Source organism: Homo sapiens, chromosome 9, assembly GCF_000001405.40.
Source record: "Homo sapiens chromosome 9, GRCh38.p14 Primary Assembly".
Classification (NCBI taxonomy): Eukaryota; Metazoa; Chordata; class Mammalia; order Primates; family Hominidae; genus Homo; species Homo sapiens.
In genome coordinates this window covers 85,945,423-85,971,793 of record NC_000009.12, presented here as the reverse complement: position 1 = coordinate 85,971,793, position 26,371 = coordinate 85,945,423, and the positions used below count along the sequence as shown (strand labels likewise).

General features: G+C 38.8%; 1 protein-coding gene across 5 annotated transcripts in view; it reads right to left on the bottom strand.

Moving 5' to 3' along the window:
* Positions 1-26,371, bottom strand: part of NAA35 (N-alpha-acetyltransferase 35, NatC auxiliary subunit) — an 84,317-nt gene that overhangs the window by 53,669 nt on the left and 4,277 nt on the right. For 4 of the 5 annotated variants that reach the window (XM_005252127.5, NM_024635.4, NM_001321881.2 and 1 more), the window contains exons 3-6: positions 15,401-15,434; positions 13,208-13,322; positions 11,927-12,001; positions 9,614-9,781 (exon numbers count right to left, since the gene is read on the bottom strand). In XM_005252127.5, the coding sequence (XP_005252184.1) occupies positions 9,614-9,781; positions 11,927-12,001; positions 13,208-13,322; positions 15,401-15,434 (392 nt within the window). Of the gene's footprint in view, positions 1-5,119; positions 5,199-9,613; positions 9,782-11,926; positions 12,002-13,207; positions 13,323-15,400; positions 15,435-26,371 lie in introns of those variants that run through there. The other variant, XM_047423710.1, reaches the window with a different exon arrangement.

The window sequence follows — 26,371 nt, the reverse complement described above, 5'->3', positions numbered from 1 at the left end:
AACTGAATGTGGATATGAGGTAAACTATACAATCAAGCCTCATTTTTAGGGTTTTGGTCTAAGCAGGTGATGGTACCATTTCCTGGGATAAGGCAGTATTTGGGAGGAGCAGGTGTAAGGGCAGAAATGAAGTATAATTTTGGTTATATCAAGTTTGTAATTTCTTTGATCATCCAAGTGGAGATTTCAGATTTCACTTGCTTGAGACTGAAGTCAGGGAAAGACTCAAGCCTAGAGGTATAAATTTGGACTTCATCATTGTATAGTTAGTTGATACTGAATGCCACAGAACTAGAGGAAATCAACCTAGGGAACAGTTATGGAGGAGGGAGGGAGTCCAGGAGTACTCTAGCAATTAGAGACGTAAGCACAGGAACTAGGCTTACCAGTGAGGCAGAAAGAAATCCAAAAGACTGGTATTAAGAAGACAAAGAGAAAAAAGTATTTCACAGTGTGTCAACCGGGTCTAACGATGCTCACAGGTTGGAGAGGGAGGGGTGAGAACACTGAATTTAGCAAGATGGGTAAAGACCAGTTCTCTGTAGTGGTGGTAAAGAATGACCATTTGGAGTAAATAAAGATAAAATGAAAGAAAAAGTAACATAAGCAAATCATTAAAGACATTTTTCCTGGCAAGTAGCTGGGAAATGGGACTGTAGATACAAGGAGCCATGGGATCAAGGAAACTGTGGTGTTTTCAAATGAATGTAAAGCATGTTTACATGCCAATAAGAGTAAGCGAGTAGTGAAGGAGAGCCTAGTAATGCAACACAAGTGGAGGAGCTGAGCTTAGATTATAACAGGAATGCTTTCATCTTAACAAGTGAGAAGACAGTTTGTGAGTATTAACAAACAGGTTAGCACTTGTGATAATGACAAAATGAAACCTTCAAGATTAAGTTGCAGACTATGACGCCCCTTTACTTCTAAACACTTCAGCGTGATTTCCTAAAAACAAAATCTTCCTCTTGCATAATCACAGTACAATTACCAAATACAGAAATTCATGTCTCTAACCTCCTTTAATCTGGAGCATTTCCTCTGTCCTTAACATTCATATCTGACACTTGGAAGTATCTTTTCAAACAGTACTTCAAAATAGTATATTTTGAATAGTACTTTGTAGTATACATTTTGTAGTATATCCCTCAGTAATGGGTGTGCCTGATATTTCTTCAAGATTAAATTTAAGTTATATCATATTTGATAGGAATGCCACAGAAATGATGATGTGTCCTTCCTAGAGCACTGTATAAGCCGGCACGTGTCAATCTGTCCAATTACTAATGGTAATTCTGGCCACTTGACTAAGGTGCTATCCGCCAAGTTTCTCTATCACAAAGCTATCATTTTTCCCTTTGTAATTAATAAGTATCTGGTGGAAAGATATTTTGAGACTAGGTATATATCCTGTGGTGTCTCATTATACTTCTGTCCAGTAGTTGCAGCATCCTTTGATTGCCAGAAATAAGTATTCAAAAACTGTACTCTTCACACAATACTATGCAGCCAAAACATTAATATTTTAGATATACTGAATTAAATAAAATATAGCATTAAAATTATTTTCACCCATGGCCACTAGAACACTAAATCGAACTATACATGTGGCTTACATTATATTTCTATGGTATAGTTCTGGTTTACAGAAAGAGATAACAGTCAAGAACCACCAGTGAGGTAGCAAACCAGGGAAGAAAAGCATCTTAAAAGCCATGCAAAGAATGTATTTTGAGGATGGAGTGATGACTACGTCAAAATCTGCTGGTAATTCAAGTTTAAGACCAAATCTAACCACTGAATTTAACACTGAGGTCTTTGATGACTGTGACACAGTAGTTTTAGTGAAAGGTGTAAAGCCTGACTAGAGCAGAGAGAAAAAGAAGAAAACCAGAGACACTGAATATGAACACATCTTTTTTTTTTTTTTTTTTAAGAGACAGAGTCATTTGACCATCCAGACTGGAGTGGAGTGCAACTGTAGCTCACCATAGCCTCAAACTCCTGGGCTCAAGTGATCTTCCTGCCTCAGCCTCAAGTGGCTGGGACTACAGAGGTGTACCACATCACCATGCCTGGCTAAATTTTTTATTTTTTGTAGATGGGGTCTTGCTGTGTTGTCCAGGCTGTGGGTACCCCTTTTAAAAAGGATCTGGCTGAAAAGAATTAAGGTATGTGCAGAAGATGAAGGACAATATTATGCTAAGAAATGATAGATTTAACAAGAGGAATATAAAGCACGTTTGCATGCTGATGTAAATTATCTAGCAGAGGGGTAAATTCATTATGCAAAGAACACAGGGAAGAATTGCTAGAGTAGTATCTTTGAAGATAGAGCATGGGATCAATGCACAAACAGAAGTTATCACCCTTAGGAATACAGAAGGTCCATCTATATAACAGAAAAGCAACAGAATATAGGGCACATTTTGGCAGGTAGGAAGACTACTTCTATTTATATGGTAAATAGCAACTTACCAAATAAGTGTGAGGATAGGGAAGACTTTTTTTTTTTTTTTTTTTGACATACCAGGTCTCAAAATCTACCTTCTTGTCTCTCTGAAGAACTGGAAATATTCCACCAAGCAAAACAATAAACTAAGAATAATAAAGGCATGTGGGCCAGATAACAAGGGACCTAACAAAACAATGAAATTCCTGGAGAACAGAGAACAAAAAACTAGAATGACACAGCTGTGTAGTGGGCATAGCACACAGTGATGCAGACTGAAGCTGGAGAACAAGACTTCAAGAGGAGCATTTTCAAAAAAATATATACAACTGACAGATTATCTGATAGGTTTCACAATAGAGGGCAAAAGAACTGGGGAGAAGTACATAGAAAACTAAGCAAATCAAAAAGAGAGACAATTATCACATATAAGAAAAACAAAATTTTGTATGAGAAGGGAAATATAAGCATATACTACTTTGGTTCACCTCTCATTAATATTTATACAATCACAACAACATTGATGCTCCATAATGATTTAACCAGCTTTTAGATTACTAGTTGGGGCAAGGGCAGAGGTAATATATGATATATTCTGATCTAATCTAACATATCAAAGCTAAAGTTAGTAAATCCTTAAATCCAGAAGTTAGAATATTAGGTTATATCCAGATATATGGAGATAATATGGAACAGTAAAAAAAAAAGAGCAGAGAACTATTTTTCCTCATAAGTGGGCTATTTAACTTTTTAAACTACATACAAGTATTAGTACTTTTATTAAAATGTACATACACACACACCCCACTTAAATTTTCACATAACAAATTTGGCCGGGCACGGTGGCTCACACTTGTAATTCCAGCACTTTGAGAGGCCCGAGGTGGGCAGATCACGAGGTCAGGAGATCGAGACCATCCTGGCTAACACAGTGAAACCCCATCTCTACTAAAAATACAAAAAATTAGCCAGGTGTGGTGGTGGGTGCCTGTAGTCCCAGCTACTCAGGAGGCTGAGGCAGGAGAATGGCGTGAACCCGGGAAGCGGAGCTTGCAGTGAGCCGAGATAGCGCCACTGAACTCCAGCCTGGGTGACAGGATACCTATTTTTAGGAAGATAACTGCTGGTCACATGGAGAATGAACTAGAAAGAAAATACTGGACCAGAGAGAAGAGTTCAGAAACTCCAAGGAAGCCAAACCTAAGGTTGACGAACTAAAGCAGAAAGGGTGAGAGAAAAAACAGTGCCCCGATTCAAGGCATCTGCAAGCCAAAGCAAAATAATCCGAACGTAAGGGGTAAGAAGAAAGAGGTAATCAAAGATAACACTGGCAGTATGATATTGCAAGATACAGAATGCCAAAAGAAAAGTAGTTTGATAGGGTTCCTATTTTGGGCATGTGAGCAAGATGTTAAGAAAGAAATCAGAAAACGTCTCCAGATCAGGAGACACGCCTGAGAACAAAATACACCAGCAGCTAGGAACTCCAGAAATATCCAATTTAAATCAATAATTTGCTCATTATAAATCTTTTTTTTTTTTGAGACAGTCTCACTCTGTCACCCAGGCTGGAGTGCAGTGGCAGGATCTCAGCTCACTGCAAGCTCTGCCTCCCGGGTTCACGCCATTCTCCTGCCTCAGCCTCCTGAGTAGCTGGGACTACAGGCACCCACCACCATGCCTGGCTAATTTTTTGTATTTTTAGTAGAGACGGGGTTTCACTGTGTTAGCCAGGATGGTCTCGATCTCCTGACCTCTGCCCACCTCGGGCCTCTCAAAGTGCTGGAATTACATGCGTGAGCCACCGCGCCCGGCCAAATCATTCTTATTCATCACTAGGTCTCTTGAGGACTTTACTAGATTCGTATTTTTTTCTAATTATAAGACTAAGACAAACTTATCTGGAAAATCTGAAAAATTTAGCAAAACGAAGAAAACAGAATCTTTTGGCCCAGAAGCAAACTTCTGGTTTTCTCTTTCCAGTTTTATTTTTACACAGTTGGCTACAATGCTGCTTTTTTTAACCTTTTGACATATGCATTTCTCCATGTTATTAAGCACTCTTTCATCATGTTAATAACTACATACTCAATATACATAATAAATTATGTGTAATCAATTATCCATAATTTATTTCAACCATAACCCTATGTGGCATAAAGTACCCACATTTCTAATTACTTCCTTTTTTGTTATTGTTGTTGAGATGGACTCTCACTCTGTCACCCAGGCTGGAGTGCAGTGGTACAATCTTGACTCACTGCAAGCTCCGCCTCCTGAGTTCAAGCGATTCTCCCACCTCAGCCTCCCGGGTTCAAGCGATTCTCCCACCTCAGCCTCCCAAGTAGGTATGACTACAGGCATGTGCCACTACGCCTAGCTAATTTTTGTATTTTCAGTAGAGACGGGGTTTCGCCATGTTGGCCAGGCTGGTCTCGAACTCCTGACCTCAGGTGATCTGCCCATCTTGGCCTCCCAAAGTGCTGGGATTACAGGCGTGAGCCACAGCGCCCGGCCTAATTATTTCTTTAAGGCTGAGTTATAGAGGTGAAATAACTAGTTTAAATGATATCAGTATTTTTAAGATTCTTGATATACACATTATTAAACTGTTTGCCAAGACAGCTGTGCTAATGTATACTAGTAAAAACAGAAGTGTCAACTTACTGCATTCCTTCCAACATTGAACATTTTCATTTTTAAAATTATATTCATGAAAATCAATCAGTTCTAGGAGCCGCGAAATCTGAGATCAAGAGGTGGGTGAGGTTAAAAAAAAAAGAAAGAAAGAAAAAATCAAACTACATTTTCATTTGTATTTCCTGGATTATAGTGAAGCTAAATTTTAAAGGTGTTATAAACATTCGATAACCTTCCTTCATAAAATAAGCAACTTATTTTATTGCCCATTTATTCATTTGGGCCTGAGTGTTGTACTTTATTTGAACACGATCATAATTCATAAAAATTGTCTTATCTTTGTATCTTTATTTTTCCTAAAAGTTTTTCTATCACTCTTGTCCTATTAGTCTCTTCCTTTAAGATTTCTCCCATTTCCTAGTAAGACCTTCATCCAGAATATAAATGGATGTTCAATTACAGGTCAGGTGTGGTGGCTCACAGCTATAATTCCAGCACTTTGGGAGGCTGGGGTGGGAAGATCACTTGAGCATTGCAGTTTGAGACCAGCCTGGCAAACAAAGCAAAACCCAGTCTTTACAAAAAAAATTAAAAATTAGCCACGTGTGGTGGAACACATCTGCAGTCTTAGCTACTCGGGAGGCTTGAGACAAAGTATCGCTGGAGCATAGGAGTTCAAGGCTACCAGTGAGCTACGATCATGCCGCTGCACTCCAGCCTGGGTAACAAAGTGGAACCCCCTAGAAATAAAATTCAATTACAATTTCTTCTGTTACTAAAAAACTTACTTTATTTAAAAACAAAATAATGCAGACACACCCTAAAAATCCCAACAGTGCAAACAAGTGTATACCCCAGCCCTTAAAACCTGTTATCCTCTTATGTATGAAGATTTAGCTACCTCCCTTTTTAAAAAAGAAAAAAGTGGTAGCAAGCTATATACATGCTTTACTACACCCGACTTTTCTCACTTTAGAAATCTAATCTTATCTCTACACATAAATCAATCTCATTTTTTTTCCAATTTTTTTTTAATTGACCTCCATCTTAAAGGCAGTAAAATACCCTTTTTTTGAGACAGGGTCTCACTCTGCACACAAACTGGAGTAAAATAGCACAATCACAGCTCACTGCAGCCTTGACCTCCCCAGGCTCAGGTGATCCTCCAACCTCAGCCTCTCTAGTAGCTGAGACTACAGGCACACAGCACCACACCCAGCTAATTTTTGTATTTTTTGTAGAGACAGGGTCTGGATATGTTGCCTAGGCTGGCCTCGAACTCCTCAGCTCAAGCCATCCGCCCACTTCATCCTTCCAAAGTGCTGGGATTAATAGGCATGAGCCACCATGCCTGGCCAGCAGCAAAGCACTTGATTGTATGAATGTAACATCTTTTAATTAGTCTCCTACTGATGGATACTGAGGTGGTTTCCAAACTAGTTACTACAAACAATTCTGTAAGTAATATCCTTGTACACAGGTCTTTGTGTACAAATACATTTGTAGGATAGAGTGCTAGAAGTGAAACTGCTGAGTCAAGACGTGCATTTTAGATTATGATAGATATCACCACATTGCTCTTTTCTGAAGTCGTTAAGAATTTACACTCCCATCAAAAAAGTATGAGTCTTGCTTAGAGTAGGATGTCAAGTGCTGACTGATCAATGTGGAAAATGAACTAGAATAAAAAAATACAAATTTTGCAACCATCACAGTAAACATTAGTCCAGGCAAGCACCGTCAATGGATATTTGATCTAAGGGGAGAGACTTCAGTCAGTAGGATATTTTTATGGTCTTAAAGTGTATCCCAAGATTGCTTAAATACAAAGGGAAAAAAACAGTAACCATATGGTAATAAGACAAAATCTTCATGGATTGATCAAAATAATATCGCCATTGAAAGACAGACAGTGTACCTCCAGTTGTGACACCCTGAAAAACACACATCACTTATGTTATATTCCAGCCAAGATTGCACAATCTTAATCTAATCGTAAGGAAAGAACAGATAAACCCAAGTGAAGCATAGCCTATTAAGAAATGAAAAGCAGGATAAGGTTGTGTTCACAAAAATATCAATGTCACCAGAGACAAAGAAAAGCTGAGGATCTGATGTGGCTTAAAGAATACTATAGAGATACGCAATTAAATGCAGGACATAATTCTAAACTGGATCCTGTATTGTAGGGAAAAAACACTAAGGATTGGGTCAATTAACAAAAATGGAATCTGAATAGTGCATTGTTATTACAGATTTGTTGAAGTTGATAATTGTGTTGTGGTTCTGCAGGACAGTGCCCTTTTTCTTCGAAGAAACACACTAAAGTGTCACAGCGAAGAAGGCTTTAATGGGCACAACTTACTAACAGGTCAGGAAAAGACATACATACATATATACATGAGAGAGAGCATGAGCAGGAGCACGCGCATAAGTGAAAAAAGCAAATGGGACAGTATGTTAATAGTAGCTGAATCTGCATACGAATCATATGTTCTTTGTGCTGGTTCCCATAATTGCTGTTAATCTGAAATTATTCCCCAATAAGAAGTTCTAAAAAAAAAAAAAAAAAAGACTAAGAAGTGGGAAATAATGACTGCTCATATTCATTGACACACACATAGAGTATTTGAGTGCCTGTTTTCCCATCCTCAACAATCTTGTTATAAAAAATTTCTAATCTTTGCCAACAATGGCTAAAAACATGACATTTCAGTTTTAATTTGCATTAAAATGAGGTTAAGCACCTTACATTTAAAGGCCATTTTATTTTCTGTGAACTATCTTCTCCTGATTTTTAAGTAATTTTTTATACTTAACACATTTCAGCTATCTGAAATTTTGATATGAAATGATGATAAAGTAACTTTCAAGGGTGCTAATCACCTTGTTCACACACTGTTGTTCAAGGAATCCTCTCTCTGCCCCATTGATTTTGATGGCCTTTTAGTTGTACTTTGAAAATACTAGTATTTAAAATAATCTGTATATCTCTAACTCAAACTAATCTTTTTAAAATTCCATCCAAATGAGTAAGATTTTCCATAATGATACCCATATCAATACAAATATGTAAATAACCACCAACTGTATAAAAAGTAGACACTATTTCAAACAACTCACAAAGCCATACAGCCAGGAACAGTGGTTCATGCCTGTAATTTCAGAACTTTGGGAGGCTGAGGCAGGTGGATCACCTGAGCTCAGGAGTTCGAGATCAGCCTGGCCAACACAGTGAAACCGGGTCTCTACTAAAATACAAAATTAGCCAGGCATGGTGGTGCACGCCTGTAATCCCAGCTACCCGGGAGGCTGAGGCACAAGAATAGCTTGAACCCGGGAGATGGAGGTTGCAGTGAGCCGAAACTGCCCCATTGTACTCCAACCTGGGCAACAGGACTAAAACCCCCTCTCAAAAAAAAAAAAAAAAAAAAAAAAGCCATACCTTCAAATATGGACAAACATATTGGGTATACATTTAATTATTCTCACATACATAGTATAAATTGAGAAAAGTTTTACATATTATACACTGAACCACTGTTGGATCCTAGGAAATTTATTCTGGAGCAGTAACAGCACTAAAAAGAAATATCAGTTTCAACAGAAGAATTTAACAAAAATAGTTATCAATAATTTCAAATGCTATCACATTTTCCCTTACAATTCTTTTTTTTGTAGTCCTAGGTTGAGATGCAATTCCCTGAAAATTATCAGCGTCTGAAAGCTTATTTTTTATACTAAAGGGGAAAAAAATCTTTCTATCTCTAAAACTCACAATACTTCCTCAGGTGAGGTACTTAGGACAAACTAAAGGAAAATGTCTATACCCTAAAATATTCATATCTTTGTTCTCCTTAGCTCCCTTTTTGTATTATAACTTCTAAGAGACTTGAGGACAAGGGCTGTCTCTTTCATTTTTCTCTGGGAATCCCCACAACATCCAAAAACAGCACTCTGCACATACGGATATTCAATGAATGGTACTACAGAAAGAACATATGCTAAGATGAAAGCCCTTTCTTGGAGAGAACTGAATTACTTTACCCAATATATCTGTAAATGGCAACAGCATTACTTTTAAAAACTGTTTTTAAATATACACGTAGACGAAAGTACATATCACAAAATCATTTAAATACATCACAGTGAATAAGGTAGTCAATGAACTTCAGAAATTCTTTTTTCTTTCTTTTTTTTTTTTTTTTTTTGAGACAGAGTCTCGCTCTGTTGCCCAGGCTGGAGTGCAGTGGCACAATCTCAGCTCACCGCAACCTCTGCCTCCTGGGTTCAAGCAACTCTCATGCCTCAGCCTCCCAAGTAGCTGGGATTACAGATGCATGCCACCACACCTGGCTATTTTGTGTATTTTTAGTAGAGACAGTGTTTCACCATGTTGGCCAGGCTGGTCTCAAACTCCTGACCTCAGGTGATCTGCCCACCTTGGCCTCCCAAACTGCTGAGATTACAGGCATGAGCCACCGCACCTGGCCAAGGATTTCTTACATTACGAAATCTTACCTCTTCAAAAACAGCAGCTTTATTTACTTTTTCCCTTGCAATGTCACAGATTTTCAAGATTCCCAGAGCAAAAGCCTTCATAGCAGGATCTTCTATAAAGTCTGGATTATGAATGTAAAGGCACGTAAATACTGTCTGTGCCAGTGAATGGCCTTCTAACCACGTTATCTATAAAGAAACAAAAGAGTATATATTTAAGGTGATAAACTGAGTCTGCAAAGTCTAAATTGATCCTAGAGTCAAAGGCCAGAGCACCATAGACCCAAATAAGATTAATCACAAGACTTAAAAAAAAAAGACACGTTAGAATTCACTTTCATTGACTAACATTTTTCAAGTGTCTATGGGAATCATTGTCGTACATCAATCAGTTTGCAACATATTAGAGATTAATGAAATTAAGACTGCCTCTTTATGTAGCATCCAAAAGAAATCAACTCCACAATGTAGTCAATAAAAAAATCCATAAACTGGAAAATTCACAATTATAGAACTAACCAGATCCTTAGACACTCATTGAACTTTATAATCCTTACCACCACAACCCAGCCAACACCGTATCTCACCTAGATTATTTCAAGAAACTAGATAGGTTTTCCTGCCTCCCATCTCTAATTTAATACCCCCAACTAGAGATCTTTCTAAAACACTAAGATAATTGTTTTATACTATTTTACTAAGTGACCACTATATGTCTGGCACCATGTACTAGAGGTTGGGAATACCAACAATAGGCAAAATTGGGTAAGTACTGTGTCTCAAATATTATACTAGGTTATTTTCAAATATCTTATCTCATTTTTTTCCTAGCACTTTGAGAAAGGTGGTATTTTTCTCCTTTTATATGTAAAGAAACAGAGTAAGAGTTTAAATCATTTGCCCAAGTTTATAGTTATTTTTACCTTAAGCCCAAGAATTCTGCAGTAGAGTAAGACATACGCTACTGCATTGCAAAATGACAAATGTTTGTGGAAAACTCTGTAATTAAGGTGTGTATTTGGTATTAACTAGTGTGCAGAAGACAGACTTTCCAGACTAAAAACCATCTGCCTTTTAAAGTCCAAATTTTTAAATACAGTCCCAAGAGTCTCACAGAATAGTTCCTCAACTTTGGCAAAAATCCTCCCTCTGTTTATCCTTTCCTCCTTCTCCACCACTCTCCACTAATCCCACACTCCTCCTACTTGGCTCCCTGCCAGACTTAAGCAGCTATTTATGATTTTCCAAAATGAACATTTTCACATTGTCATGCCCATGCAATATACCCTCTTTGCCTACTAAACCATGAATCTTCCTGTCATACGCCTACCATTCTTTAGTACCTCACACCAGTATTAATTCCTTTCTACAGCCTTTCTTACTCTCTCAGACATAATTAACTCCTCCTCTCTGTTCCCACGGCACCGTCATAAAAGCATTTACATGTTGTCAGAATTGTTTATTCACATGTCTGTTCCCAGCAATCCTTTGACTCCTTTCTTTACTCCACCCACTAGGACTGTAAACTGCTAAAAGGTAATAAAGAAATCTTTGAGGGGGTAAAGAGACAGCTTTGGAAGATGAAGGATCAGGATTAAGATTCTGGCTAGGCCCCTCCCAAGCAATGTAATCACAGGCAGTAAGATAATACAGATATCTAATAAAGCTCATGTAAAACATAAGTGAAAACTATACATATAAAACACCTAATACAAGTACACACACTAGCAATCAATAAATGCTGAATGAACAAATGAATAAATTTTACATATTTCTAAGGAAAATGATTTAATGTCAATATAAAAAGAAAGGGATGGTCAGAAAGTGGGGCGGGGGGGAAGCAGTAGAAATGAGAATTTCTCGACAAACAGTACTTTCTAGGGAAGACATAATTCAGCATATACAAATCACTAAAAAAATTTTCTTCACAGGAGATGGCCAGTTTACTACAATTTATCCTAGATTAGAAAAAATCTCTCCAAAGCCATTGCATAATAGCTCTCTTTTGTTTCAATTCCATGCTTATTTATGAAACCTTCCAATTACAGACTTATCACTTGAGTAACTTGAGAACGAAAAGGGTATTATGAACCACGGCTATAATATTATCTTCATTGAAAAGAAAATATCCCTTCACCCAGAAAATTAGAATGTAAAATCAAGTAGATAACAAGATGAAATGCTATTACTAGGCCTGTTAATCTTATGCACATCTTTACTAGGGCAAGTATTACATTTATTTCATACTCAACATTAGTGTATAGGCTTTTAAATCACAAGATTCAGGTAAGTCACAGTTTTAAAATTAACCAATAGTCTTATTTCCATTCTTACCAAACAGCAAAAACATGTATCCATAATCCCTATCAGTTCAGGCAAGGTGAGATCTTTAATTTTAATAGTGCCATCCTAAAAAGGAGGAAGAATGTGACATATAAGCAGAAATTTTTTTAAACTTATGGTTACTATGTATAGTAGCATTTTGGATTTCTAACATTCAATATTTAAAAACAGCAATTCTAAGAAAATGCTATCTTATCATCTGATAAAACTATCACACCAAATTAACTCTGTACTCTTAAAAACAATATATCTTCTTATAAATTTTATTTTTAATTGACAAATAATAATTGTAAAAACAATATATCTTAGGTCTTCAACAAGAAATATCAAAATAAAGGCCTTTATATAAAATGAAAAGCCAAATCAACAAGTATTTTAAAAGCACAGTTCAAACCAGCTTTAAGTATTAATATAAATCATTTTAATGACCCAAAACTACTTAGAAAGAAAACTAAAGTTTTTTTTTTTGTTTTTTTTTTTTTGAGACAGAGTCTCACTCTGTCGCCCAGGCTGGAGTGCAGGTGGCGTGATCTCGGCTCAATGCAAGCTCCGCCTCCCGGGTCCACGCCATTCTCCTGCCTCAGCCTCCGGATTAGCTGGGACTACAGGCGCCTGCCACCACGCCCAGCTAATTTTTTGTATTTTTAGTAGAGACGGGGTTTCACTGTATTAGCCAAGATGGTCTTGATCTCCTGACCTCGTGATCCACCCACCTCGGCCTCCCAAAGTGCTGGGATTACAGGCATGAACCACCGCACCCAGCCGAAAACTAAAGATTTTTTAAAATGCTTCACTTAAGTTGGTTAACTATACTATTTGTAAATTTTGTTTACGATATCCATTTGCCTAGTAAATCTTTCTTTATAAAATATGTAAAATCAAACTCTATGGCAAGTATAAATGAATTTCTAAAGCAATTTTAAATTCACTACCACAAGTATTTTACTTGTGTAAATTTACTTTTATATATGAATATATTAATACACAAAATTTAACCCCCAAGCCAATTTTCCTATTTGAATATATAGTCAAATGCTTTCAAAAATTAAATTTAAAAGTACACAAATGCACAAATTTAGAGCAAGATTTTAATGAAGACCTCAATTTTCAGACTTTAACATACAAAGGTTATAACTAATTCTTGTTTATATGCTTGAGCTGCTTTGAAGGAAACAGACTTTAATACAACGTTTCATTTCATTATTAAGCACCATGTTTTAACAGGAAGTAACAAAAGATAAATGGAAACACAAAAAGTACAATGGTAACTACCTTGATAGCTTGTTCAAAATTGAGAACTTTTCGATTAACTTGGTTTCCAATCATGCCAGCATCCATCTTGGGATCCATCATTTCAATAGCAGACATGGCTTCAAAAAGACCAAATCTGCAAATAAAAAAATTGAGCCAACAAATTGTTTTTGAGCCAGTAAGCTTATTCATATTTTCACAACGGTATAAAATTATACTACTTTTAATAACTAAAGTATTCTATGCATTTAGTCTTCTCAACTTGCTAACACTTCTATTTCAATTAACTGTCGACTGACACAGAAATTATTTCATGTACTTGCCACTCAAATTATTTCACATGCACTGTGAGGAAGAAAAAGATTTCTGCCGGGTGTGGTGGCTCACACCTGTAATCCCAGCACTTTGGGAGGCTGAGGCGGGTGGATCACCTGAGGTTGGGAGTTCAAGACCAGCCTGACCAACATGGAGAAACCCCATCTTTACTAAAAATACAAAATTAGCTGGGTGTGGTGGTGCATGTCTGTAATCCCAGCTACTTGGGAGGCTGAGGCAGGAGAATCGCTTGAACCCGGGAGGCGGAGGTTACGGTGAGCTGAGATTGCACTGTTGCACTCCAGCCTGGGCAACAAGAGTGAAACTCCCTCTCAAAAAAAAAAAAAAGAAAATATATAAGATGTCTGTGGTCTCACACTAGACCTAATAAAGAATTCTCGGGGTAGGACCCAGCAATCTACGCTTTAATAAGCCCTCCAGACAATTCTGGCACACGCTCAAATCTGAGAAGAACTGAATTTCAGATTCTACTTCCCCTTCCCTGCAACCACAATGTCCAATCTTGTCTACTTACTAATTAAAAGTTTCATATTCCTAACCTTGAAAATTGAGCCTGGCCATGGCAGTATAGGAACTGGGGCTACATATGGGCATATAAAGACGAACAAGTATTTCCATTTATTTTGTTTTTCCAAGGTGCTATTGTTTGCATGTGGTTTGCCTCCACCAAAATTCATGTTAAAACTTGATCCCCAATGCGGCAGTGTTGGGAGGTGAGGCCTAGTGGGAAGTGTCTGGGGCATGGGGAAGAATCCCCATGAATAGATTAATGCCCTCCCAGGGAGGTGAGTTCTTGCTCTCCCAGGAACGAATTACAGTTGACCCTTTCACAACATGTGTTTGGATTGCAGGAGTCCACCTAGACAAAGGTTTTCTTGCACCTGTGCCACCAGAGACTGCAAGACTAACTTCCTCTTCCTTCCTCAGCCTACTCAACATGAATATGACAAACATGAAAACCTTTATGATGATCCACTTAATGAACAGTAAGTATATTTTCTCTTCCTTATGATTTTCTTCATTACATTTTCTTTTCTCTAGTTTATTCTAAGAATACAGTATATGGCACATATGACATACAAAATATGTGTTAATCAATGGTTTATGTTATTGGTAAGACTTCCAGTCAATGATAGGCTACCAGTAGTTAAGCTTTTGGGGGAGTCAAAGGTTATACGTGGATTCTTGACTGTGAGGGGGTGGGTCGGCACCCCAATCCCCAAGTTGCTCAAGGGTCAACGATACTACCCAAGAGGGTGGTTTGTTTTAAAGACTCTGACTTCCTCGGGTTCTCTCTCTTGCGTCCTCCTCTGCCATGTGATCTCCTTGCACCACATGCCACTCCCCACTGCTCCCCTTCTGCTTTCCACCATGAGTTGAAGCAGCCTAAAGCTCTCACTAGACGCAGTTGCCCAGTCTTGAACCTTCCAGTCATCAGAATTGTATGCCAAATAAATCTCTTTATAAACTACCCAGTCTCAGGTATTCAGCTACAACAACACTAAACTGACTAAGACACAGGGATTCTCATTTACTTTTATCTAGGCACTTAGTCACCCAATTTCTGGTTATCAAGCAACCTATCACATATGACATACAACTGATATCTTTTATTCAAGAAATTCCACATTCATTACATCTGCTCTCAAGGAAAGGACCATAAGTTACAGTTTCCCTAGGTATAACCATTTCACATCACAACTAGGGTCAGCTGCCCCAAAATAGCTCATCACAGTTAAAAATATATTTATAATTAGTTTTATTTTCACAATTTTGAAACGTAAATTTACTCAAACTTCAGGGAATATTACTCCACATGAGGAAAAAAAAACAGACTGAAACATTACACTACACTATTTTCAAAGGATAAATACTTACAGCTTATCATGAAGTAGTTCTCCCAACTTTAATTCTAAAAAAAAAAAGAGAAAAACCCTTTGAACATATTTATATTTAACTTTTAATTCTAAGAAAAAAAAGACATTAGCACCTGAAAAGATGTGCTTGTATTACTTTAAAATTCATTTTCTAAGAAATACTTATTTCTACTCAATTACTAATATAATGCATTCTATACAGTGAGTACTTGTGTAAATACAAAAGAATACGATAAATCAAGTGGTTTAGGAAAAAAATAATACTTTTGAGAATAAGTGACCCATCGCAGGCCATAATATTCCAATCAGAATTACCAACCCCATTTTTAAAAATCACTAGTATATTTCGCCAAGTAAACTTTTACATAGAACTGACTGCTACTTCTCAAGTTTTTAAACCACGTTACCATAATCTAATTTCCTTTTGTTCCAGTAACAGTGTCAAAACCATTTTTTAAAATCCTATTTTGTTTAAATCATGTAGAAGACACTTGAGTAAACAGGTAATCAAAACAGTGTTCAATCCCTATAAAGCAGTGGTCCTCAACCTTGGCTGCATATTAGGGTCAACTGAGAAACTTTCTAAATCCCAAAGTCCAAGCAGCATCCCAAACCAATGAAATCTAGAGTTGGGACCTATACAGTGGTTTTAGAGCACTCCAGATGATTTTAATATGCAGGTAAGTCAGAAATCACTGCTATAACATGCTAAGTAGATTAAATATTGATGGCAGCCGGGCCAGGTGGCTCACGCCTGTAATCCCAGCACTTTGGGAGGCCAAGGCGGGTGGATCACGAGGTCAGGAGATCGAGACCATCCTGGCTAACACAGTGAAACCCCATCTCTACTAAAAATACAAAAAAATTAGCCAGGTGTGGTGGTGGGCACCTGTAGTCCCAGCTACTCGGGAGGCTGAGGCAGGAGAATGGCGTGAACCAAGGAAGTGGAGCTTGCAGTGAGCCAAGATCACGCCACTGCACTCCAGCCTGGGCAACAGAGCGAGACTCTGTCTGAAGAAAAAAAAAAAAAAAAATATATATATATATATATATATATATATATATATGTATATAGATGGCTAAATCCTGTGGAAGGTGTAAAAAAGCAGTTTATAGAACTTTAGCCAATCTTCCCTAGCCAACTGTAAGTTAAATAATATTAATTTCTAACAGTTCCAGGTACTGAAACAGATAAGAATCATGTGTGAAAATACACCAATAAGGCTGAAGTTAGTGGATCACCTGAGGTCTGGAGTTTGAGACCAGCACGGCCAACACAGTGAAACCCCATCTCTACTAAAAATACAAAAATAGCCAGGTGTGGTGGTGGGTGCCTGTAATCCCAGCTACTTGGGAGGCTGAGGCAGGAGAATCACTTAAACCCGGGAGGCAGAGGTTGCAGTGAGCCGAGATTGTGCCACTGCACTCCAACCTGGGTGACAGAAGGAGACTCCCTCTCAAACAAAACAAAACAAAACAAAACAACAAAACATAGCAGAACACATACTAGTAATCCAGCAATTCTCGAAGAGTGGTCTGGGAACCCAGGAACTTGCCATGTTAAAATTACTTTGATAATCATACCAAAACATTCGTTGTCTTTTTTTATTGTGTTGACACCTGTACTAATGATGCAAAAGCAATGATAGGAAGGTAAAAAGGCAATGGAGGGCAAAACTGCTGCAGCTTCAGCACAAATCAAGACAGTGGCCCCAAGCTAAACTAATCATGTACTCTTCACTTCCATGCACTTACGGCTAAAAAAAGACAAAAATTTTCTTCAATCTAAGAATGCCCTTGATGATCACTATTCATTAGGAAAGTGCAAATTAAAATTACAATGACACCACCTTACACTCATTAAGATGGGTACTACAAAAAAAAATCCCTGCAGAAAATAAGTGTTATGAGGATGTGGAGAAACTGAAACCCTTGTGCACTGCTGGTAGGTTTGTAAAATGGTCGAGACACTGTGGAAAACAGTACAGCAGTTCCTTGAAAAATTAAAAACAGGACAGATGCAGTGGCTCACACCTGTAATCCCAGCATTGTGGGAGGCCAAGGCAGGAGGACTGCCTAAGCCCGCGAGTTCAAGACCAGCCTGAGCAACACTGTGAGACCCTGTATCTATAAAATATCTTCTAAAATTAGCCAGGCATGGTGGTGCACACCTGTAGTCCTAGCTACTGGGGAGGCTGAGGTGGGAGGATTGCTTGAACCCTGTAGTTTGAGGTAGCAGAAAGCCACAACAGAACCACTGAACTCCGGCCTGGGTGACAGAGTGAGACCCTGTCTCTAAACACAAAAAAAAATTTTAAACAGAATTACCATATGATCCAGCCAATTCAAATTCTGAGCATATACCCAGAAAAGTTGAAAACAGTCTCAAAGAGGTACTCGTATGCTCATGTTCACAGTAGCATTATTCACAATCAAAAAACATGGGAAACAACCCAAGCGCCCATTGACAGATGAATGATAAACCATGGTCTACACATACAATGGAATATTATTCAGTCTTAAAAAGGAAGGAAATTCTGACATGCTACAACATAGATTAACCTTGAGGACATTATGCTAAGTGAAAAAAGTCAGGCACAAAAAGACAAATACTGTGTGAGTCCATTTAAATGAAATACTTAAAGTAGTCAATAATAATACTGTAGGGCCAGGCATGGTGGCTCATGCCTGTAATCCCAGCATTTTGGAAGGCCAATGCAGGCAGATCACCTGAGGTCAGGAGTTCAAGACCAGCCTGGCCAATGTGGTGAAACCCCATCTCTACCAAAAAAAATACAAAAAGTAGCCAGGCATGGTGGTGGGTGCCTGTAGTCCCAGCTACTTGGAAGGCTGAGGTGGAAGAATCACTCAAACCAGGAGGCAGAGGTTGCAGTGAGCCGAGATTGCACCATTGCACTCCATCCTGGCCAACAGGGTGAAATTCTGTCTCAAAAAGAGAAAAAAAGTCATAGTGTAGACTGCTGGTTGCCAGAGAATGGGGAGAGGAATGATGAAGAGTTACCGTTTGTTTAATGGATAGAGAATTTTAGCTTCACAAGATAAGAGTCCTGGATATGAATGGTGGTGATGCTTGCAAGACATTACAAATGTATTAAATACCACTGAAGTGTACACTTAAAAATGGTTAAGCCGGTAAAAAAAAAAAAAAAAAAAAAATCTCTTGAGGCAGGTCTCACTCTGTTGCCCAGGCTGGAGAGCAGTGGTGCTATCACAGCTCATTGCAGCCTTGACCTCCCAGGCTCAGGTGATCCTCCCACCTCAGCCTCCTGGGTAACTGGGATTACAGGTGCAAACCACCATGCCCGGCTAATTTTTTTGTATTTTCTTATAGAGACGGGGTTTCATCATGTTGCTTGGGTTGTTCTCAAACTTCTGGGCTCTAGTGATCTGCCGCCTTGGCGTCCTAAAGTGCTGGGATCATGGGCATGAGCCATCACGCCTGGCCTAAGATGGTAAATATTATGTTGTTTAATTTAACACAATAAAAAAGCTGGGCAAAATAAAAAAACAACCTTGATAAAGCAGTAAAAATTATTACTCTCAGGGCCAAGGTGCAGTAAGTGAGGTACCTACAGGGCAAAATGTACTCACTTTTAGTTCTTGACTTCTTAAATTTTGCACCATAAGGTACCTCACTCACTTCACCCTAGTACCAGCCCTGATTAATCTTATTCAGTTTCAACCTTGTATAAGTTTTTAAATATTCTACTTGAAAAAAATGGGAAGCAGACAAACACTTCTGCTGCATATCAAAGAAAATAGTTGTCTTGGGAAAAAAAACACTTGCACAGCCAGGCACAATGGCTCACGCCTATAATCCCAGCACTTTGGGAGGCCGAGGCAGGTGGATTACTGGAGGTCAGGAGTTCAAGACCAGCCTGGCCAACATGGTGAAACCCCGTCTCAACTAAAAATACAAAATTAGCTTGGCATGGTGGTGTGCGCCTGTAATCCCAGCTACTCGGGAGGCTGAGGCAGGAGAATCATTTGAACCCAGGAGGTAGAAGTTGTAGTGAGCCGAGATGGCGCCACTGCACTCCAGTCTGGGCAAAAAGAGCGAAACACCGTCTCAAAAAAAAAAAAAACAAAAAACACTTGCACAATTATCATGGAACACTACTTTTACCTGAAAAAAAAAAAGAAAAACAATCAACAGACTATGGTTATTCAGACTTGAGAATGTGGCATTTTTAAAAAAAATACATGAGTCTGTCACTTCAAGAAAAACTGACGTCTGTTGCCAATAATAAAATTTGAGCTTTCAAGCAAAATCTAAAATTTTGGTAAATACGTATCTGCCACTGTAAGTCTAACAATTTCCCAATACTTAGAAGAGCTTTCTGTACTGGTAGTGATAACAAATGTGCTTATTAATATTGTATAATGAAACGTGTTAACATTTGGAAGATCTAGCCAGGCGCAGTGGCTCACGCCCGTAATCCCAGCATTTTGGGAGGCGGCCAAGGCAGGCAGATCACTTGAGGTCAGGAGTTCCAGACCAGCCTGGCCAACATGGCGAAACCCCGTCTCTACTAAAAATACAAAAATTAGCCAGGCATGGTGGTGCACACCTGTAATCCCAGCTACTCTATTCAGGATGCTGAGGCAGGAGAATCCCTTGAACCCAGAGGCAGGGGTGGCAGTGAGCAGAGATCATGCCACTGGACTCCAGACTGGGTGACAGAGCAAGACTATGCCTCAAAAAAAAAATTTTTGGAAGATCTGCATAACTTATTGAACATTCAATATTTGGAAAACAATATTTTCCAAATGGCAGTGCATGTTACAAAATCAGGCATGGATTAAAGAGCCATTCAAAGTTCAAGAAAGAGCAATGAATTTTAATGTAACAGAGCATAAAGAGTCCATTACCAGGGTTTCAGATTCCAGACTGCAACTAACCTTTAAGAAACTACCACCTGTCAAGCTTTTGGAGTATCAAAGAGGAATATCCAAAATTATCTGAAGATTCCCCCATTTTTCAACTACATATTTGGTGAGGCCAAATTTACATCAGATACTTCAACCAAAACAACATGTGGCAACAGACTGAATTACAGAAGCAAATATGAGAATTCAATTGCCCTCTGTTATGCCAGACATTGAAGTGATTTGCAAAAATGTCAAACTCTACTTTTGTATATTATTTTTTTGTTTTGGAAAATACAATGATTTCTCATTTTTAAAAATGTTATTTATGTTAACATGCAACGGGTTATCATTTTTTTTTTTTTTTGAGATGGAGTCTCACTCTGTCGCCCCGGCTGGAGTGCAGTGGTGTGATCTCAGTTCACTGCAACTTCCACCTCCTGGGTTTAAGCAATTCTCCTGCATCAGCCTCCCAAGTAGCTGGGACTACAGGTGCACACTGCCACGCCCAGCTAATACTTTTGTATTTCAATAGAGGCAGGGTTTCACCATGTTGGCCAGACTGGTCTTGAACTCCTGACCTCCAGTAATCCACCCGCCTTGGCCTCCCAAAGTGCTAGGATTACAGGCGTGAGCCACCGTGCCCGGCCCATCATCATTTTTAAATGGATATTTTTTAAATGTCTCAGTTTTAAATTATAATAAACACATATATATATGTAATACATACATAGACTATAATTTTAAAAAGTATAATGGGGTCCTAAGACCGAAAAGTTTGGAAACTGCTGTAATAATCTATCATGTATTTAGGGTAAATGTGGGTACCAAATAGCTTCATCAAACTTAAAAACACCCCACAGATCTAGAAGCAAGTCAAACACTCTCGGCCTTGGTTTCCTCATCTGTAAAATGAAAGGTTAGACTAGATGACTCGTAAGATTCCTTAGAACTTCAGTAATCAGGGGCGCAGTGGCTCACACCTGTAATCCCAGCACTTTGGGAGCCAAGGCAGGCGGTTCACCTGAGGTCAGGAGTTCGAGAACAGCCTGGCCAACATGGTGAAACCCCATCTCTGCTAAAAATACAAAATTAGCCAGGTGCGGTGGCACATGCTTATAATCCCAACTACTTGGGAGGCTGAGACATGAGAGTTGCTTGGACCCAGGAGACGGAGGTTACAGTGAGCTGAGATTGTGCCATGGCACTCCAGCCTGAGCAAAAAGAGCGAAACTCCACATCTAAAAAAAAGAACTTCAGAAATCATATCTCTCACTATTAAACTTTATAGACAGTAAACTTAAGAATTTACTCATGAAGCAGAGTACAAGCCCCACCCTGCATGATCAATGACTGAACACAGAATCATGATCTTGTATAGCCCTATAGAACTGAGTAAATTGGGCCTTATCCAACCAGGCAGCATTTCTCAAAAAATTTAATGAGAAAGATAATGTTTCAAATTATCATTAGCCATCAGAGCAATGACATCATCACACATCATGTAGCCTCTGAAAAATTCCACCGTATACTAACAAGAGAGTAACAGTCAAAAAGGCAAGTACCTTTTTAGTATTACCACCAAACTGTTTCAACTCTGCATATCCTGCAAAACAGTCTTGGGGATCCCAGCAATTCTAGACGACACCAAACAACTGAACTAACAGTAACATGATACTGTTTTTTTTTTTTTAAAGTTACTTCTACTTTTAAGTTAAAGCCTTAAGTAGGCTCAATAGTATACAGCTTACACCATTCAGAGCAAAGGGAAAAATCTGATATGAGGAAAATTGGACTCAAGCCATAGTTGTAATGATTCAAAGTTAAAAATATCACAGGAGAAAAGAAAAGTGCAATGAAAGATCTGGAAGATGAAGTTGAGGAAAAAGACATAAAAAATAGGAAAGAAAGGGGCCAGGCACAGTGGCTCACGCCTGTAATCCCAGCACTTTGGGAGGCCGAGGTGGGTGGATCACAAGGTCAGGAGTTCGAGACCAGCCTAGCCAACACAGTGAAACCCCGTCTCTACTAAAAATACAAAAATTAGCCGGGCATGGTGGCAGGCACCTGTAGTCCCAGCTACTCGGGAGGCCAAGGCAGGAGAATCGCTTGAACCTGGGAGGTGGAGGTTGCGGTGAGCCGAGATTGCGCCATTACACTCCAGCATGGGCAACAAGAGTGAAACTCTGTCTCAAAAAAAAAAAAGAAAAAGAAAAAAAGAAAAATAGGGAAGAAAGGATAAGAAAAAAATCCAGAGGACAAGTTTAGGGAGATTCAATATCCAAATAACAGACATTCCATAAGGAGAGTATAGGAAAAAGTTAGGATAATTCAAGGATGCTTCCTAGAACTGAAGCATCAAAGTGAAAAGGCTCCAGACCACAGTGAAAGTTCTGGACAAGGAGGACAAACAGAAGATCCTAAAAAGTTACATATGAAAGGTATCAAGGTCAGACATGGTGGCTACCACCTGTAATCCCAGCACTTTGGGAGGCTGAGGCGGGTGGATCACCCGAGGTCATGAGTTCGAGACCTGGCTGGCCAACAGGGCGAAACCCCATCTCTACTAAAAATACAAAGATTAGCTGAGCATGTGGTGGGCGCCAGTAATCCCTGCTACCCGGGAGGCTGAGGCAGGAGAATCGCCTGAACCCGGGAGATGGAGGTTGCAGTGAACCGAGATCATGCCATTGCACTCCAGCCTGGGCAGCAAGAGCGAAACTCCACATCAAAAAAAAATAAAATAAAATAAAGGTATCGACATATAACTTTCACATGTATCAGAATGTCATCAGATTTCTTAATAGCAAAAGATCAATGGACAATGCCTGCAAAATTCTCAAAGGCACCCAGACATAATATCAGTCAAGTGGGAGGACAGAATAAAGACATTTTCAGATATTAAGAGCCTCAAAACATTTTATCTCCCATGCACTTTACTCAAGAAGATAATAATGATATCCAATCACAACAAGAGAGAAAAGACACCCCAGGCTGATGAAGAAAGAAGATCTCAAAATGAAGTTACATACTAGGTACAAAAGGCAATAAGCCTAGACTGCAGTTAAGAGGATCAAGAAGAAAGTTCTATAAGGAGATGAAACCAACAGGATCTCCAATGAGTCTGAATGTCTTAAGGAGATTTAGACAACTGGTAGAATTAATGAATTCTAGATTCATTAATCTAGAAGTAGAATTAATGATAAGTACACCAATTTTTGGGTAAAAATTTTTTGTGTAAAACAGAAGTATGCAGGAAAGAAAAAGTAGTAATGGTTTTACTCCTTGGCTCAGCTATGAATAATATTTGCATATCCACAGTGTAGCTACCTATAACTATAAGGGGTTAAGTCCACAGATACAGCCTAAACTGGGGATGAAGGGAATCAAAAAGTAGTATAAAAGCAAGCTGCCCAAAACCAGCAAAATAAATATCAAAATAACCAGCTAAAAGGAGGAACGCAGTGTCTTCTAGAAACTCCTTTTTCATTAACTAAAGCTCCTAAGATGAAGCAAGATATATTATACGTGATTAAGGGAAAAATCTGATAAGATGTATTCAACACTGCAGAAGAGCCCTCAAAGTACATCAAAGGTCCCATTCACACTGCTTGCTCTATGTCAATGCTAGTTCTTAAGGGTGTTAAGTCCAGTATCCATGTGTTCCTTTCCTGAAGAATTCAGGGTTTGAGAGGTTAAGTGATAGCTGAACCTTCTTGAAAGTAATCTAAATGCAGTGAACTAAGCAGCATTATTGATATTTTGAGGAGGATAATTATTTGTTTGTGGGGGCTGCCCTGTGTGTTGAATTGAATGAGCAGTATACCTGGCATGTACTTGTTAGATGCCAGTAGCACCACCTCATAGACACTGTGACAATCAAAAATGTCTCAAGACATTAATGCCCCTTGAGGTGAAAAATCACCCCCAGTTGAGAACCACTAATCTAAAGTGATCCATAAATGCCAGCGCTGGCCATCTCACCCATGCTCCACCTCTTGGTAACATTCTGGATGGCACAGAACACGGAAAACAATTTTACATGTTGCCTAGATCTTTTGCCAGGACAATTTCCATCCATTCATCCTTTTCCTCTTAGAATCAAGTGCTAACAAACAGTAAATTCCTAGAACAATGACTCTCACCCCACACAGATGGGGCTGTGGGGGGCAAAAAAGATTTCACTGAAAGTTTCACAAAGAATTTGTATTTTTTCCATAATTTTTAAAAGCTATATAATCATTTCAATGATAGTCTTTAAAAAAAAATCACAGAATATTCCAGATCACCTAGATAATAACATTATAATCAAGTATCAACATAATTTCAGTGTCCACGCTTGTGGTTCATAATTATGCTGGTTACAGGCAATCCCCCAAAATGACAGCATTTAATGTACTGCAGTGGTTCTCAAACTTCCGTAGTCCCAGATCCAAATATTCTCCAGTTTGAAGAAACATGGCCTTAGAAAATTCATTCATTCTTAAAACAAATATATATATTGAGCACCTACAAATGTTCTGGGTGAGAGAAGATAGAAAAGAAAGGAAGAGCAACAAGAAGCTTAAGAATCCCAAGTTTTACAAGAGGCAAGAGAAAGTGTAAAAGGAATTTTCCTAAAGTACTAAGCAAGAACTGAAGAAGATGAATGGATATGGAAGGCCTTAACCAATGGTGCTAATAATAAAGACTGACTACGGAGGAATGAACAAAGCCAGGCATGTCCAATATTTTGGCTTCCCTGAGCCACACTGAAAGAATAATTGTCTTATGCCACACATAAAATACACTGATAGGTGATGAGCTTTAAAAAAAAAAAATCGCAAAAAAAAAAATCTCATAACGTTTTAAGAAAGTTTACGAATTTGTGTTGGGCCACATTCAAAGCCATCCTGGGCCACATGCAGCCCTTGGGCAATGGGTTGGAGAAGCTTAAACTAAGCCATCAAAAAGAGAAGAAAATGGAATGAAAGATTGGGCCCATATCCTCCTAGACTAAAACATAAAAAGAATGGAAGTCAGCATGGCAGATTTTGGATTACTCCTGGGCTCCAGATACCACTGGTGCCATCATCCCAGGAGAGAATGTTGCTATCCATAGTGTGGATAAAGCCTAGAAGCTGAGGCAAGAGGATCCCTTAAGGCCAGGAGTTTGAGACCAGCCTACGTAACATAATGTCTCTACAAAAAACAAAATAAGCCAGGCATAGCACTTGCCTGTAGTCTCAGCTACTCAGGAGGCTGAGATGAGAGGATTGCTTGAACCCATCCTATAGTCAAGGCTGTAGTGAGGAATGATCATGGCATTGTATGCACTTCAGCCTGGGTGACACAGCAAAACCCTAACTCTAAAAAGAAAAAAAAAATTTAACTTACTAATTTTTTTTTTAAGAAAGCAAGCCTAGAAGTGTTACTTAAAATAATCACATATTTCCTATCAGGCAAAACAACAGTAATGGCTAAATTATAAATAATTTAGAAAAGAAAAAAATTAGAGCCTCAAGAGTAGTTATAAGGAATGTGTGCCACCTGCCTAGTAGGAAATAAAATAAATCATAAAAGTTGAAAGTTTGTATTTGATTCAGGACTTTAAAGAGCCACTACTTTTAGTACAAATGTGCATGAAAAACAACTTCGCCATCAGTATGCCAACTATTTTGTGGTACTAAAAAAATCACCAGAGTCAGGCTGGGCACAGTGGCTCATGCCTGTAATCCCAGCACTTTGAGAGGCCGAGGTGGATGGATCACGAGGTCAGGAGATCGAGACCATCCTGACTAACACGGTGAAACCCCGTCTCTACTAAAAATACAAAAAAATTAGCCAGGCGTGGTGACGGGCGCCTGTAGTCCCAGCTACTCGGGAGGCTGAGGCAGGAGAATGGCGTGAACCCGGGAGGTCGAGTGAGCCGAGACAGCACCACTGCACTCCAGCCTGGGTGACAGCGAGATTCCATCTCAAAAAAAAAAAATCACCAGAGTCTAGCCAAATGCCATTACATTCTTACCAAAGGGGAGAGATTACTGCAAGTTAAAAGAAAGAGTGTAATCATATCTGTTTTAAATTTAGTTTTTAGAAAGTC